Below are 13,830 nucleotides of genomic sequence, written 5' to 3' on the forward strand. Positions count from 1 at the left end.
AGCAATACTACTGCCTCAGCCTCCAGAGTAGCTGGGATTACAGGCACATGTCACCATGCCTGGACAATTTTTGTATTTTTAATGGAGATGGGGTTTCACCATGTTGGCCAGGTTGGTCTCGAACTCCTGACCTCAAGTAATTCTCCCATCTCGGCCTCCCAAAATGCTGGGATTACAGGCATGAGCCACCGTGCCTAGCCAAGGTTGGCCCACTTCTTAACTGAGCTCTGGTGTGATTCTGTTCTTCTCTCCAGCCTTCTATAGACTGAGAAGTACTGTCACTTATATGAAGGTAATGCCATTGAACCAGTATGAAAAGATCGATTCTTTTGGATAGATTTTTAGCATTGAGGTCTGGCGCTGTTCCTTCTGGCTTCTACTGCAGCTTCTCTTAATTGGCTTTCTCGCTCAATCCCCAATTGATAATGTTGCTGCAGCTTTATTTTCAAGTCCTGAATGAGGAGCTCTAAGGGATCCTAAATTTTTATGAACGAACTTGTATCTCAGTGGGCTGAAGAGCAGGCCTTGAGTCCAAGTCCCAAGCACAGCTCCTGTGTAAAACCCATTGCCTAGCTCCTGTATTCTGGAACATCCCTACACAGTCTAATGAAAAATAAGTATTGGGTTTGTAAACAAAGTCTATGTCTTAATTCAGATTTGTTTGAAATTTCATTGCTAGGGGAAACCCAGGAGAGCCTTTCACTGAGCTTTTGCTTTGTTTCTAGAGCCTCCTCCATTATCTGAAGGGGGATATAGTCCTAACAAGGGTGATTAGGTAATCAATGGGCTTGGCCAAAGAGGTAGACCATATTTTTGTTTGCAAATCATTTACCCCCCTTCTCTGTTAAGAGAATCGCACATCTCAACCCATTGTTTGTGACTTTTGATGCCTTCTGTAGGAATAGTCAAATGTAGTTTGTGTGATTCATTTTGATTAACAGCATATGAGTAGATGTGGCATTGGCCCTGTCCAGGAAGAAGCTTTAGGCACATGGAGGCTGCTTCAGCCCGGATGATGTGAAGAGACAGTAGAGTAGAGATACAAGCTATCTGTAATTGAAACAAAACCACACTGGACCTGCAGCTGACAGGAAACACACCTGACACAAGAACTTTTTTTTGTAAGGTGCTGAGATTTGTGGGGGACACTGTTACGCAGTGTGACCCAGCAAATACTGGCTAATGTGCATACGATGTCGCTAGAGTGGACCCTAGCTCATTTAATAAAAATGGTGATTCAGCAGCTAGAGTCAGGGAAATACTGAGTGGCATATAATACAGATGAGGTTGTTGTCTTATTTCACGCATGGCCTGAAATAAAAGTAGGCAGTCATGACAGGGTTGTGAAGCTTGAATAAATGGAGCAACTAATTTTGGAATTTCATTTTATCTTCACCCTCACCTATCATTTATTTGTGGAGGGCTTACTGTGTGCAAGGTACTGTGCTATGTTGCAGATGCTGACTGTACAAAGAGGCATAGAATATAGTCTATGAACTCTAAACTTAAGGATGCAGTTGGGATAAATATGATGATACTCATATGAGGGTAGCACGTGAACTACAGAGAGGATACATGCCATAGGAAATTCGAGAAAGGAATTCTTATTTTAGATTAAGCCATTTAATTACAAGGCAGAGGCTATATTTTATTTTGATTTGTGCCCTCCAAACAGTGGTATATTGGAGCTGGTTCATACTGACTCAAGTGAGCCTATGACGCATGTCTGTTCCTGACTCTGGGTTCAGGATATCAGATGGTAGTTTGAAATTAGCCATGGTAGAAGTATTTATACCACAGACCAGCAAATACTAAAAATTAGGGCTTTTAAAAAATGTTTGAGAGGCAGTGTATCAATATGCTTCTGCCTCCAACTAATATGAGGTACAAAGAGTTGAAGTGAATTGAATTTTTCTCATAGTGTACTGAGAGGTTTTGAAATGAAGAATAATTTCAAAGGTGGTTTTTAGGGATATATTAATCTGGCATTGATACACAGGAAATGCAAGAGGAGAGAAACTCTATGTAGCCAGAAAACGGTAATGAGCCTCTTAAAATAATCTAGGAACAAGGAACTAAGGAAGTAACTCTTACTTAGGAAGAGATGAATCAAATAACCTTTTAGTGAACACTTTAATTTTGGCAAAAAAGTTCAAGGTAAATGACCCTTAGTAGATACTCTTTAAATACTTGTTGAATTAAATTGAATTCAAGAACTTTGTTCCAGAATTTAAAATTCTCTGTTCTTTTTCTTTTCTCCTGTACTCCTCTAGACTTTTGTTCATTCTCTTTGACCTTTATTTGCTTGTACATATTTCTGTTTTTTATGTAGCTCTCTTTTTCTATCATTTTTTCTTTCTCTACTTCAGTCCTAGAGCAGTTAGTAACCAATCACCTTATTAGCTGCCTAGAAACTTGGATAACAAAATCTCTTGGCAGGTGGGTTTTATATGTGGAGTGGTAGATCCATTTCTCCAAAAGAACAGGTAATTTGTATTCTCCAACACAGGTATTGCAACATTGAGGCTATTTCTGGATTGAAACATACTTCATGCTTTCCACATGCTTATTTAGCTCATTTCAGTAACATTTTATAGATGAAAACAACAAAATGAATGATAATATGAGTTACCTTTAAAACTTCAATGTGTCTGTCAAATTAATTGCACCACCTAAACACCAAATTCATTCCTTTAATTGAAAGTCTTATAGGTGCTCCCCCCTCAGCATATGCTATAGTTAATGATCAATTGTTGCCACAAACGATTTAACATTTGTATACACATGAGATGACATGGTCATAATTCATGGAAATGCCAATGCTGTGAAATAAGCACAAACAGTGATAAATGTGCTGTCAATTTCTATATAATTACCACAGATCTATCATGCTATTTTGGTATGTTGAAATGCATTAGAGCATACCAAATGTGCATCATCCCAGTGATCAATATCCTATTTCAAATACAAACGTTACTGTATAATTATCATGTTATTCTTTCTGATGGTTTTCTATTGAGCTATGTTGCATTTCAATTTAAAAAGTAAAATCACAGAGTGTCCACCTGGATTAGAATTACTACACTGTTCACGATTAGCACATGGTTGATACCTGCAATTTTAATTTAGACATTAATTATGGTTTGTGACTTCACTAACATGTTAGATAATTTAATTTGTCCACTTGAAATAGTCTCTTCTGGCTGACTATATTTCACCCTAAATAAATCTTACACTCTGAGACTTGGCTCTGAAAATGCGTTCTTTTAGTGTGTTTCTTTGATCTTTTCTTCCTTCCTTGCTGTTTTGCTGTGCTTTCTGTTTCTTGGTTCTGTTTATTTAATTTTGCTGAGGTGGTGGTGTTTTCTAGGTCAAAGATTGAGTTCAACTAGGAAGGACTAGTAATTGTACAATATAAAACTACCTCTCTGCCAGGTAAAACAGACTATTTTTGTACAGTCAGATACTTTAAAACATTTTCTGATAGTTTCTAGAAACAAAAGAGGGAACATAAACCCTGCGGTTTTGCAGGCTTCCCAGCTTAATCACATGCTTTTAAAAGTGCAGCAAGGTACACCCCTGGCCTTGCTCAGTGTCCCTGAAGACCCACAACAGGTAGTAACTGGTAATGTGTCTGAAGCCTGCATCTGGCTTGCCTGAAGCTCCAGGTCTGATGTCACCCAGTCATCAAGTGCACTGGCAGAGACCTCAGCAGCCACCTCTCCAGGCTGCTCTGTTGTTGTCTCGTTGCTGCATAAGCAGTCTCATATTTTAGAAGTCAAATAACCTTAGTTTCTTTTTGGAAAAAAATGAGCATTCACTGGGAGATAGTAATCTAGTAAAGATTTTAAAAAACAGGTTAACTTGTGGTCTGAACATCTAAGCAGAAAAATTGTGACCTTTGAAGAAAGCATAATGCAGGAGGAAGTGAGAAACCTGGGAAACTTCTAGGATGTTTTCTAAACCTGCGGATGGTCTGTGGATATAGCGTGCGTGCTCATCCCGAGGTCTATGGAGAAGCAGCTGTACCAGGGGTGGCAGCAGGGTTTCTCTGCTGTTCTCTTACCTCTCTTCGACTAATATATTCTTTTGGGCCAAGGAAATCCTATATCCAATTGATAACACAAACTAGACAAGAAAACATGCAGGCACGCCCCTGGGATAATTCTCTGGAAGCATTTTTCAGGACTCCCTGGCCTCCAGCCTGCCTTTCCACATGGCTGCTTACCTTTGCCTTGTGATTTCTGTGGACTTTCAAACCTTCATGGTAAACCAAATTCATTATCGGAGTTTTCCCTTCCCCTTCCTGTCACTTTCAAATACGAATTTTAACACCGGTCCCTTGTGACCTCCTCACTCAATTTCACCCTCATCCTAACTTGTTTACTTCCAAACCTACTGACTTTCTGTCCTGTGTGTTGGCCATGCTCCATCCTGCCGCAGAGCTGTTGTCCAAGACTAAATAATTCTTTCCAGTTTTTCCCTTGTTAATTTCTATCATCTTTCAGATAAATCTTGGTTCAAGTGTCAATTTCAATGAGAATCCCTTCCTGATCTCCCTGGCCAGGGGAAATCCTCTTGCAACATCATCAGGTTTATATGTTTGATTAGTTGATTAAGAGCTTCCTTCTCCACTAGATTGTAAGGACCACAAAGGCAGGAATCATGTCTGATTTGTTCATAGTATCTGTTAATACATCCTCTCCCCTCACCGTATGTAAGTGTGTGTGTGCATTTATTTAAATATATGTAGATACATTTATAAATGAATGAATGGGTAGCAAAAACTCATTACAGCTATTTGTAATTCCATTATGAAATTATCTAATCTGTATATACAAGGAGGACAACAAATGGCAAATACAGATATTAGTAACACAAATAACTTTTCAATATAATTTCATAACTTCTCTAAAATAAGATATGATACTTAAAGCTTTGTAACAGCATATTTTAAAAAATGGATTGTAAAAAGCACTTTTCTACATGTTCTCTCATTGAATTCTCAGAACTGCTCTATCTCCATTTTAGAGTTAAGGAAGGTGAGATCAGTTAAGGCAAGAAACTCTCTGAGGGTAGAATTTGAACCTAGAATATCAGTTCTAGGACAGAGCTCTTTCTATAACACAAAACTGCTGCCATTTCTAGTATAATATTATCAGCTAATATTTGATTTAATTAATACTACCCAAAATATTTTATTTTAAATGCATTTATAATTTTCTGTGATATGTGTGAATTTTGATTTTAATTATGCTGCTTTTGTATCAAGATACTGATAGAAATCAGAAAAACATGGGTTTGTTTACCTGTATTTTTAACTTATGCAAAATTTTTTAATGACACTGCTACAAACTAACATGCTACAACTGTTTCTCCATTATATAAGATGGGGAGATTTTGCTTTTCATCTAGAGGTTTTCAAACATCCATATGTTGAGTATTTTAGCCCTAGCAGGCATATTATGCTGTTTATGAAGGCAGAAGGTCTGAAACAGGGCCAGGCATTTTTAAAGATGAATTTTATCAGAGAAACAAAAAGCTGTTGGTAATACTGGTCTTTGTTCCCCCTTTGTGGGCAAAGGAAACTCGCAAATCAAGAAGAAAGTTAATCATTCCTTCATAAACACTGAAACCACCTATGAAACCCTTTCAAAATTATCTAATTGAACTCAAACCAGCCATGTTCTTCCTCTGTTCCTCCTGGAAATTAAAGGGATAAAATATTGCACAGGAAGACAAGTTCCTAGTTTGTATGTTTTGCTGAAGGCAGCCACCCTCCTTGCTACTGCAGACCTATCATCTACCTTTTGGGTGTTTGCTGCATTCTATCCCAACAGTTTGCTGAGGCTGGCAATAACTATTAATTTCTAAGCAAATAACCCTTCCTTTGTGTGGCAAGTTTCTTACAGTAATTAAAAGCAAGGACCACATATTTGAACATTAAGGAAAAAAAAAACAGCAGATTTTTATGTGTTTCAAAGAACTTATATTAATATCAACTGGCTTCTCACCATCTATTGCAAGTTAAAATAATTAGACGTAACTCTTTGTAATACACATTTTCAGGGAGAATACAGGGCTAGGGGATCTCTTCTACGCTATTTTGTGTGGGTATACAACTGGCATAGACTCTTTGAAGGGTAGTTCAATAATTTATTTCAAAATGTTAAAAGCACCTATCCTTTCATTCAACAAATTCATATTTAAAATTTATGTCATGGATGCTATTATCCTTAGCAAACTATTAATACCACAGAAACAGAAAACCAAATCCTGCATGTTCTCACTTATAAGTGGGAGCTAAATGATGAGAACACAGGGACACAGAGAAGGGAACAACACACATTGAAGCCTATTGGAGGGTGGAGGGTGAGAGGAGCAAGAGGATCAGAAAAATAATTAATGAGTACTAGGCTTAATACCTGGGCGATGAAACAATCTGTACAGCAAAACCCCATGACACAAGTTTACCTATATAACAAACTTCCACTTGTACCCCAGATCTTAATATAAAAATTAAAAATGATTTTTTAAAAATGAATAAAATTTATGGATTTCTCACCTATGTACATAAAAATAAAAAAGAAGCAATCCAAATATCAATCAATAAAAATAGGTATATAAATTACGGAAAAATTGGGAAGACATATCGCTAAATGAGAAAAATCTAAATGAGAATATTATATATAGAATATTTCCAAAGTGCATGATATTTATGTGTATGTACGTGTATGTGTAGATATATGTGCATGTTGTACCAGTGAAAAGGCACCCTGGCATGACTAACTCCATTTTGCTCCTAACCCCTCATGGAGGTATCTTTCAGGTTAACTGCCTTTGCTTATCTCTGCATGTAGGCCAAGCTAACTACGAGAGGAACTTAGCTTGTTGTTTAAATGATAATAATCCCTTCCTAAAATGAGTCCCAAGGAGTTAAGGATGGTGTACACACAAGTAACAATGTTGTACTGAGGATCTGTGGGAGTGTTGTGACTCTCCAAAGATGGAGAGGTTTCCTGGCCTCCTCATACATTCACTGGCACCTAGATGTCTCCGGTCATCAGGTGCCTCCTGATCCCAAACCCCTCCTCTTCCCCCTGCCATTAACATAAAAAGGGCCTGAAATTTGTACTGATTTAAGATGGTTCTTTAGGACATTAGTCTGCCTTCTTCTCAGATGGCTCTGCAAAAAGTTACCTTCCTTGCTGCAACTCCTTGTCTCTTGACTTACTGGTTGCCATGCAGTAAGCAGAATAAGTTTGGATTCAGCTACAATATGTGTAGGAAATTTGTGATAAGATACTTAAAAATGTTTAACAGTAGTCACATCTGTAAGGTGAGAATGAGAAAAAAAATGCTGGTCTTTTTTTACTCTTTGCATTTTTCAAATAAATTCATGTACGACTTTTATGGTAAAAGATTATTTAAACTTTAAAGTACATTGAGAATCTTGAAGTAAGATGGCAGTAAGTGAATTATGTTTGATTTACTCTCTTCCATCTTTCTGTAAATCTATAGTCTGTACTTAAATATAAGAACTGAAACTATAAAAATCCTAGAAAAAAATCTAGGAAATATGATTCTGGACATAGGCCTTGACAAAGAATTTATGATTAACTTTTCAAAAGCAATTACAACAAAACCAAAAACTGACAAGTGGGGCCTAATTAAACTAAAGAGCTTCTGTACAGCAAAGGAAACTATCAACAGAGTAAGCAGAGAACCTGCAGAATGGAAGGAAATATTTGCAAACTACACATCTGACAAAGATCTAGTATCCAAAACAATACTAGATATTCTTAGTGTATCATTATACTTAGTTCATTCTTAATATAATGATCTTAATTCAACAAGCAAAGAACAAATAATCCCATTAAAAAGTAGGCAAAGGACATAAACAGACACTTCTCGAAAGAAGACCTACAAGTGGCCAAGAAACATGAAAAAATTCTCAACATCACTAATCATCAGAGGAATGCAAATCAAAACCACAATGAGAAACCATCTCACACCAATCAGAATGGCTATTATTAAAAAATCAAAAAATAGTAGATGTTGATGAGGCTGTGGAGAAAAGGGAATGTTTATACACTGTTGGTAGAACTGTAAATTAGTTCAGCCACTGTGGAAAGCAGTTTGGAGATTTCTCAAAAAACTTACAACAGAACTACCATTTGATCCAGCAATCCCATTACTGGGTATATACCCAGAGGAAAATAGATCATTCTACCAAAAAGTCACATGCGCTCATATGTTAACTGCAGCACTATTCACGATAACAAAGACACAGAATCAACTTAGGTGCCCAACGGTAGATTGGATAAAGAAAATGTGGTACATATACACCATTGAATACTACACACCCATAGAAAACAATGACATCATGTCCATTGCAGCAACATAGATGTAGCTGGAGGCCATTATTCTAAATGAATTAACACAGGAACAGAAAACCAACTACTGCATAGTCTCACTTAAAAGTGGGAGCTAAACGCTGAGTACTCGCAGACGTAAAGATGGGAACAATAGCCACTGGGGACTCCTGGAGGAGGGAAGGTGGCAAAGGTTGAAAAACTACCTATTGGGTACTAGGGACATGACCTGGGTGACAGATTCAGTCATATCCCAAACCTCAGAATCACACAATTTACCCATGTGTACATGTAACACTGAATCTAAAATAAAAATTGAAGTTAAAAAAAAGTAAATGGAAGCTTGCTTTAAAAAAATATTCTGCCAGAAGGGTTTCTTGGTAAAATAATTGAGAAATGTTCTATATTTTCTCTCCTACTAAATAGAAGATAATATAATACAATTTGGTAATTAAAGCCTCTGAGAAGTCCTTCTTCTATGGTAAAGAAATCCGATCCCTGCCACCCCCACACCTGAAAATCTATAGTCTATAGTAAAAGCTTATTTATTTATCTTCTTATTTTTAGAGACAGGGATGTTGCTGTGTTGCCCAGGCTGGCCTCATACTCCTGGGCTCAAGCAATCTTCCTGCCTCAGCCTCCTTAGTAGCTGGGACTGCGGGTGCACACCACTGCCCCCCTACTATTTATTTACCTTTAAACTTTAACTGCCTACTCTTTCCCCATCCTCCACTATACCACTTCCTTCACCCCCAAGACAGACTGGGTGACTCGTATTACGTGGTGAGATCCTCTTGTCACAGCTGTATAGATCAAGAATCACTTGACCAATAAGAAATTCTCCCTCTGGAATTTTGAACTAGAACTAGGGCATTTGTCAGTTTGGTCTCTCTTGAGCCCAGACACGTAGTTCCAAGATTGAAGTAATTGTTTTAAACATGCGCAAGGGAAGTAGAAAAAGGTGGTTTGCCTAGAGGGAAAAAAATGCCACAGATGACCCCAGAAACAGACATTGGCCATGGGGCTGAACAGAGGCTGAGGCAATTGCTTCCTTGAACTCGTTTGACCCATCTGTTTAGTCTCTTATGATGCCCACCTGTACTTCTTACCTTTGGATTAGTGAGTCTCCCACTAAAGCCTCATTGTGTTTTGTTTAAGCCAGGTAGAGTAGAATTTTTATTACTTGCTTCTGAAAGTACTCAGACTGATGGTGCCCATGGAGACACAGGAAGACCAAATCCCACAACAGTACTGGAAACCAGGTTACCCATATGCCGCATGTGGGAGACATTTCTACTTATTGCTATGAGAATGAGGAACTGAGAAACAGGTGCCTCAAACTGCTCCATCCTTGGGCAAGTTCAGAAGCAGGAAGGAAGAGATATGACATGCCAAAGTTAACTATCTGAATTTAAAGACACGAAAGCAACACCAAACAGAAATTTGGGCAGGCCCTCTGGACTGCTACTTTCCCAGCTTCCCCCACCTGATAGCAGTCCGTTCAGAAAATGCAGTTCGAGTATATAATTAACTGACCCAGGTGAGGGAGCAGGTGGTTGGGGCAGGGTAGGACATAAAATTATAAAACGAGTGATAATTGCCCAGGAGCAGAGAAAGGAAGTGGTATATGTAAGAAAATGTTGTTTTTCATTTATAGTCAAAGAAAAATAGTTGTGAACTGGTTTAAAAATTACAGGATACAAACTCGATTCCAGAAGATCAAAGAACTACCGCTATTCAACAAAGTTGCCCAAGATTAATTTCTAGTAGGTCCTGGTATTGAACTCAGTTATTCATAGCAACCTACCCTCCAGGTTCATATTTGGAAATGGAATCCAATTAACCTGTTAATACACTTGAGGAAAGAGAAGTTCTTCTACATACTTATATCAGGTATTGGCAAAAATGTATCTCCATAGATCTCTGTCTTCATTTAAAGATGAATAAACAAGGAAAAATCAGGTACTACCACCACCCCACAAAAAAAGGCAGTAAAACATAAAAAGAGAAAAAAGGGGAAAGTCTGAAAGTAAAACTCGTCCATTACCACAAAGAGAAAAAACAATAGAAAATAGGTACTTTATATTCTTGCAGAGCTAAAAGAACATTTTTTAAAATAACATAAGGATGGGTCACTATGAGGGGGAAGATGGAAGCAGTGAGTAGCAGAACACATAAAAAGGTAAGGAGAGGCCGGGTGTGGTGGCTCACACCTGTAATCCTAGCACTTTGGGAGGCCAAGGCAGGCGGATCACGAGGTCAGGAATTCGAGACCATCCTGGCCAACATGGTGAAACCCTGTCTCTACTAAAAATACAAAAATTAGCTGGACGTGGTGGTGGGCACCTGTAATCCCAGCTATTTGGGAGGCTGAGGCAGGAGAATCCCTTGAACCCAGGAGGCGGAGGCTGCAGTGAGCCGAGATCATGCTATTGCACTCCAGCTTGGGCGATAGGGTGAGACTCTGTCTCAAAAAACCAAACAAACAAAAACAAACAAAAAAACAAAGGTAAGGAGAGACTGCAAGGATGCAAAATGCCACAGTATGATTGAAATCCTGGGAGAGAGAGGAAAGAGCAGAAGTGACATCATAGGAAATTAGGCTAGTGATAAAATTTGCTTCTGATCTGGTGTAGACACCAGCCTGTGTGACCTGCTTTATTCATTACCTACTGATTGGCAATGACTGAATCTTCCTCCACAGCCTTTATTACTATGTTTTTCCTAATAAGACATCCTTTAAATCCTGAGTCTTCACTGATTTCTTCATAAGGCATTTTGTTGACTACAGACTCCTTACAATACTAGAAGAGAAGAATTAGGATGTTTCAACACAAACAAAAGGTAAATGTTTGAGGTGATGGATATCCCAGTTACCCTGATTTGATCATTACACGTTGTATATATGTATGAAATATCACATGTACCACCCAAATACGTACAGCTATTTTATATCAATAAAAAAGACATTTTGAACTTGACTACTGGGTGAAAGTTGCTACCACACTCTCTTCTCTCTGAACCCTAGGTATTTTCTCTTCTGTTTTCTCTGTGCACAATCAGCATTATTTTCTACGTGCTGTAGCAAAGAAAGAAGTATTTCCAAACTTCTTTGTTGAGAACATCTATGTTTTCTTTTTCTTTCTTTCTTTTTTTTTTGAGACAGTATTTCACTCTTGTCACCCAGGCTGGAGTGCAGTGGCACAATCTCGGCTCACTGAAACCTTTGCCCCTCCCCGGGTTCAAGCGATTCTCCTGCCTCAGCCTCCCGAGTAGCTAGAATTACAGGCACATGCCACACACCTGGCTAATTTTTTGTGGTTTTATTAGAGACGGGGTTTTGCAGTGTTGGCCAGGCTCGTCTGGAACTCCTGACCTCAAAAAATCACCTTTGTTTTAAATGCAAAGTGAAAATGCCTTGTTAACTTGAGCATCAACACAGGTGTTGTGGCTTATCCTCTGAAACATCAAGTGCATCCTATTCCTCCAGACAGTAATAGCAGCTGCCGTTCCTCACTTCATGTCTAATGTCAATTGGGTTACATAATTTTCAACAAAAAGGATATAAAATAATCATTGTTTGGTAAAAAATGTAAATAATTACATTAAAAACCATAGAAAATCAACTGAGAAAACTTTTCATGCTAATAAGAAATTTTAGTAAAGTGATCCAATACAAATAGAAAAGAAATATAAATATAAAACCCAGTAATTGTGTAGGAATATATATATATATTTCCATATATAATGGAAAATATAACAGTATATATATATATAGTCTATTGTATTAGTAAGTCATAATTATAAGGTTATAGGAAGAAACCTTGTTAACTTTATTTAGCTATAACTGATATGGGATAAACTGCATATGTTTAAAGTGACCATTTGCTCAGTTTTGAGTTACGTATTTACCTGTGGAACCATGACCATCACCTGTGAAATCACATCAGAACCATCAGCCCCCAAATGTTCTCATGATGGCTTATCTTTCACTTCTCCAGAAAACTACTGAATTATTTTCTGTCACTATTGTTTCCATGTTTTTGAAATTTATATAAATGGCAATCTACATGATGTGTTCCTTTTTTGCCTGGCATCTTTCATTCAGCATAATTATTTTGAAATCCATCCATGTTTGTGCGTGTATCAATAGCTCATATTTTTTTTTATTGCTGAGTGGTATTTCCAGGTATGGATATGCCACAGTTTGTTTATATATCAATAGCTCATATTTTTTATTGCTGAGTGCTATTTCCCAGTATGGAATTGCCACAGTTTGTTCATATAATTATGGACAGTTGGGTTATTTCTAGGTTTTGGCTATTACAATTAAAGCTTCTACAAACGTGTATAAACCTTTGTCTGGAGATATGTTTTCATTTCTCTTGGGCAAATGCTGTGGGGTAGAATGGCAAAGTATGGCAGGTATATGTTAAAGTTTTAAGAAGTCATCAAGCTGTTTTCTATAATTTGGAAATTCCAGTTTCCAATGTGTTTTCCAAAAAGTATACAACTTTATATTTTCATTAGCAGTATATGAGAGTTCCAGTTGCTTCACATCCCCATCAACACTTGGTCTGGTCAGGCATTTTAATTTTAGCCATTCTGATGGGTATGTAGTAATACCTCACTGTGGTTTTAATTTGTATTTTCCTGGCGATTAATGATGTTGAGCGCCTTTTAATATGTTTACTGTCCATTTACATATCTTTTTGAGGTATCATTTCAAGTCTTGTGACGTCTGTGGATTGCCTTGCTATATTGAATTTTAGAGGTTCTTTTGTGATATTTTTTTCAGAGATGTTCTTTGCAAATATTTTTTTCCCAGTGTGGTTTCCCTTTTTTCAAAAAATGATATTTTCAAAAGAACAATAGCCTTTGTGTTGAGAACACCTTTGTTTCAAATCCAAAGTCCATTTTATCATTTTGTTCTTTTCTGTTTCATCCTCTTTGTGTTCTGTCTTGACGTAATCAAGATTTTCTCTTGTTTTTTCTTCCAAAAATTTTGATTTTTAGGCTTCCCATTTAGGCTCTTTTCCCATTTCAGTTTAAGTAAGTTTTGTGTATGATGTGTGTGGTAAAGATCAATGTTAATTTTTTCCCCATATGATATCCATTTAATCCAATTACATTTTAGACAATTGCTTTTCTCTTTTGGATTATCTTAACATCTTCATGAAAAATTAATTGACCATATATATGTGGCTCTATTTTAAAACTCTCTTTTCTCTTCCATTGATTTATAAGTCTACCCTTTTAGTAACTGCAGTCTTGCTTACTATAGCCTTATAGTAAGTCTTAAAATCAGTGTTACTCCTTCAACTTTATTTCAAAATTATTTTGGCTATTTTAAGTCTTTTGCCTTTTCATATAACTTCTAGAATCAGCTTGTCAATTCTACAAAAGAGAGACATTAAACTTTTGATTATGATTGCATTCACTCTATGAGTGGAAT

General features: G+C 37.2%; 1 long non-coding RNA gene across 7 annotated transcripts in view, besides 1 other annotated feature; it reads left to right on the forward strand.

Moving 5' to 3' along the window:
* LOC105375523 (uncharacterized) overlaps positions 1 to 13,830 on the forward strand; it is a 459,019-nt gene that overhangs the window by 368,904 nt on the left and 76,285 nt on the right. The gene's annotated exons all lie outside the window — the stretch shown is intronic.
* Positions 9,818 to 9,917: an enhancer, noted in NCBI's record as "active region_26722". NCBI's record gives its function as "activates an Ori minimal core promoter by ATAC-STARR-seq in GM12878 lymphoblastoid cells {active_cell/tissue: GM12878}" and the evidence as "EXISTENCE:reporter gene assay evidence [ECO:0000049][PMID:35858748]".

Source organism: Homo sapiens, chromosome 7 (genome assembly GCF_000001405.40).
Source record: "Homo sapiens chromosome 7, GRCh38.p14 Primary Assembly".
Lineage (NCBI taxonomy): Eukaryota > Metazoa > Chordata > Mammalia > Primates > Hominidae > Homo > Homo sapiens.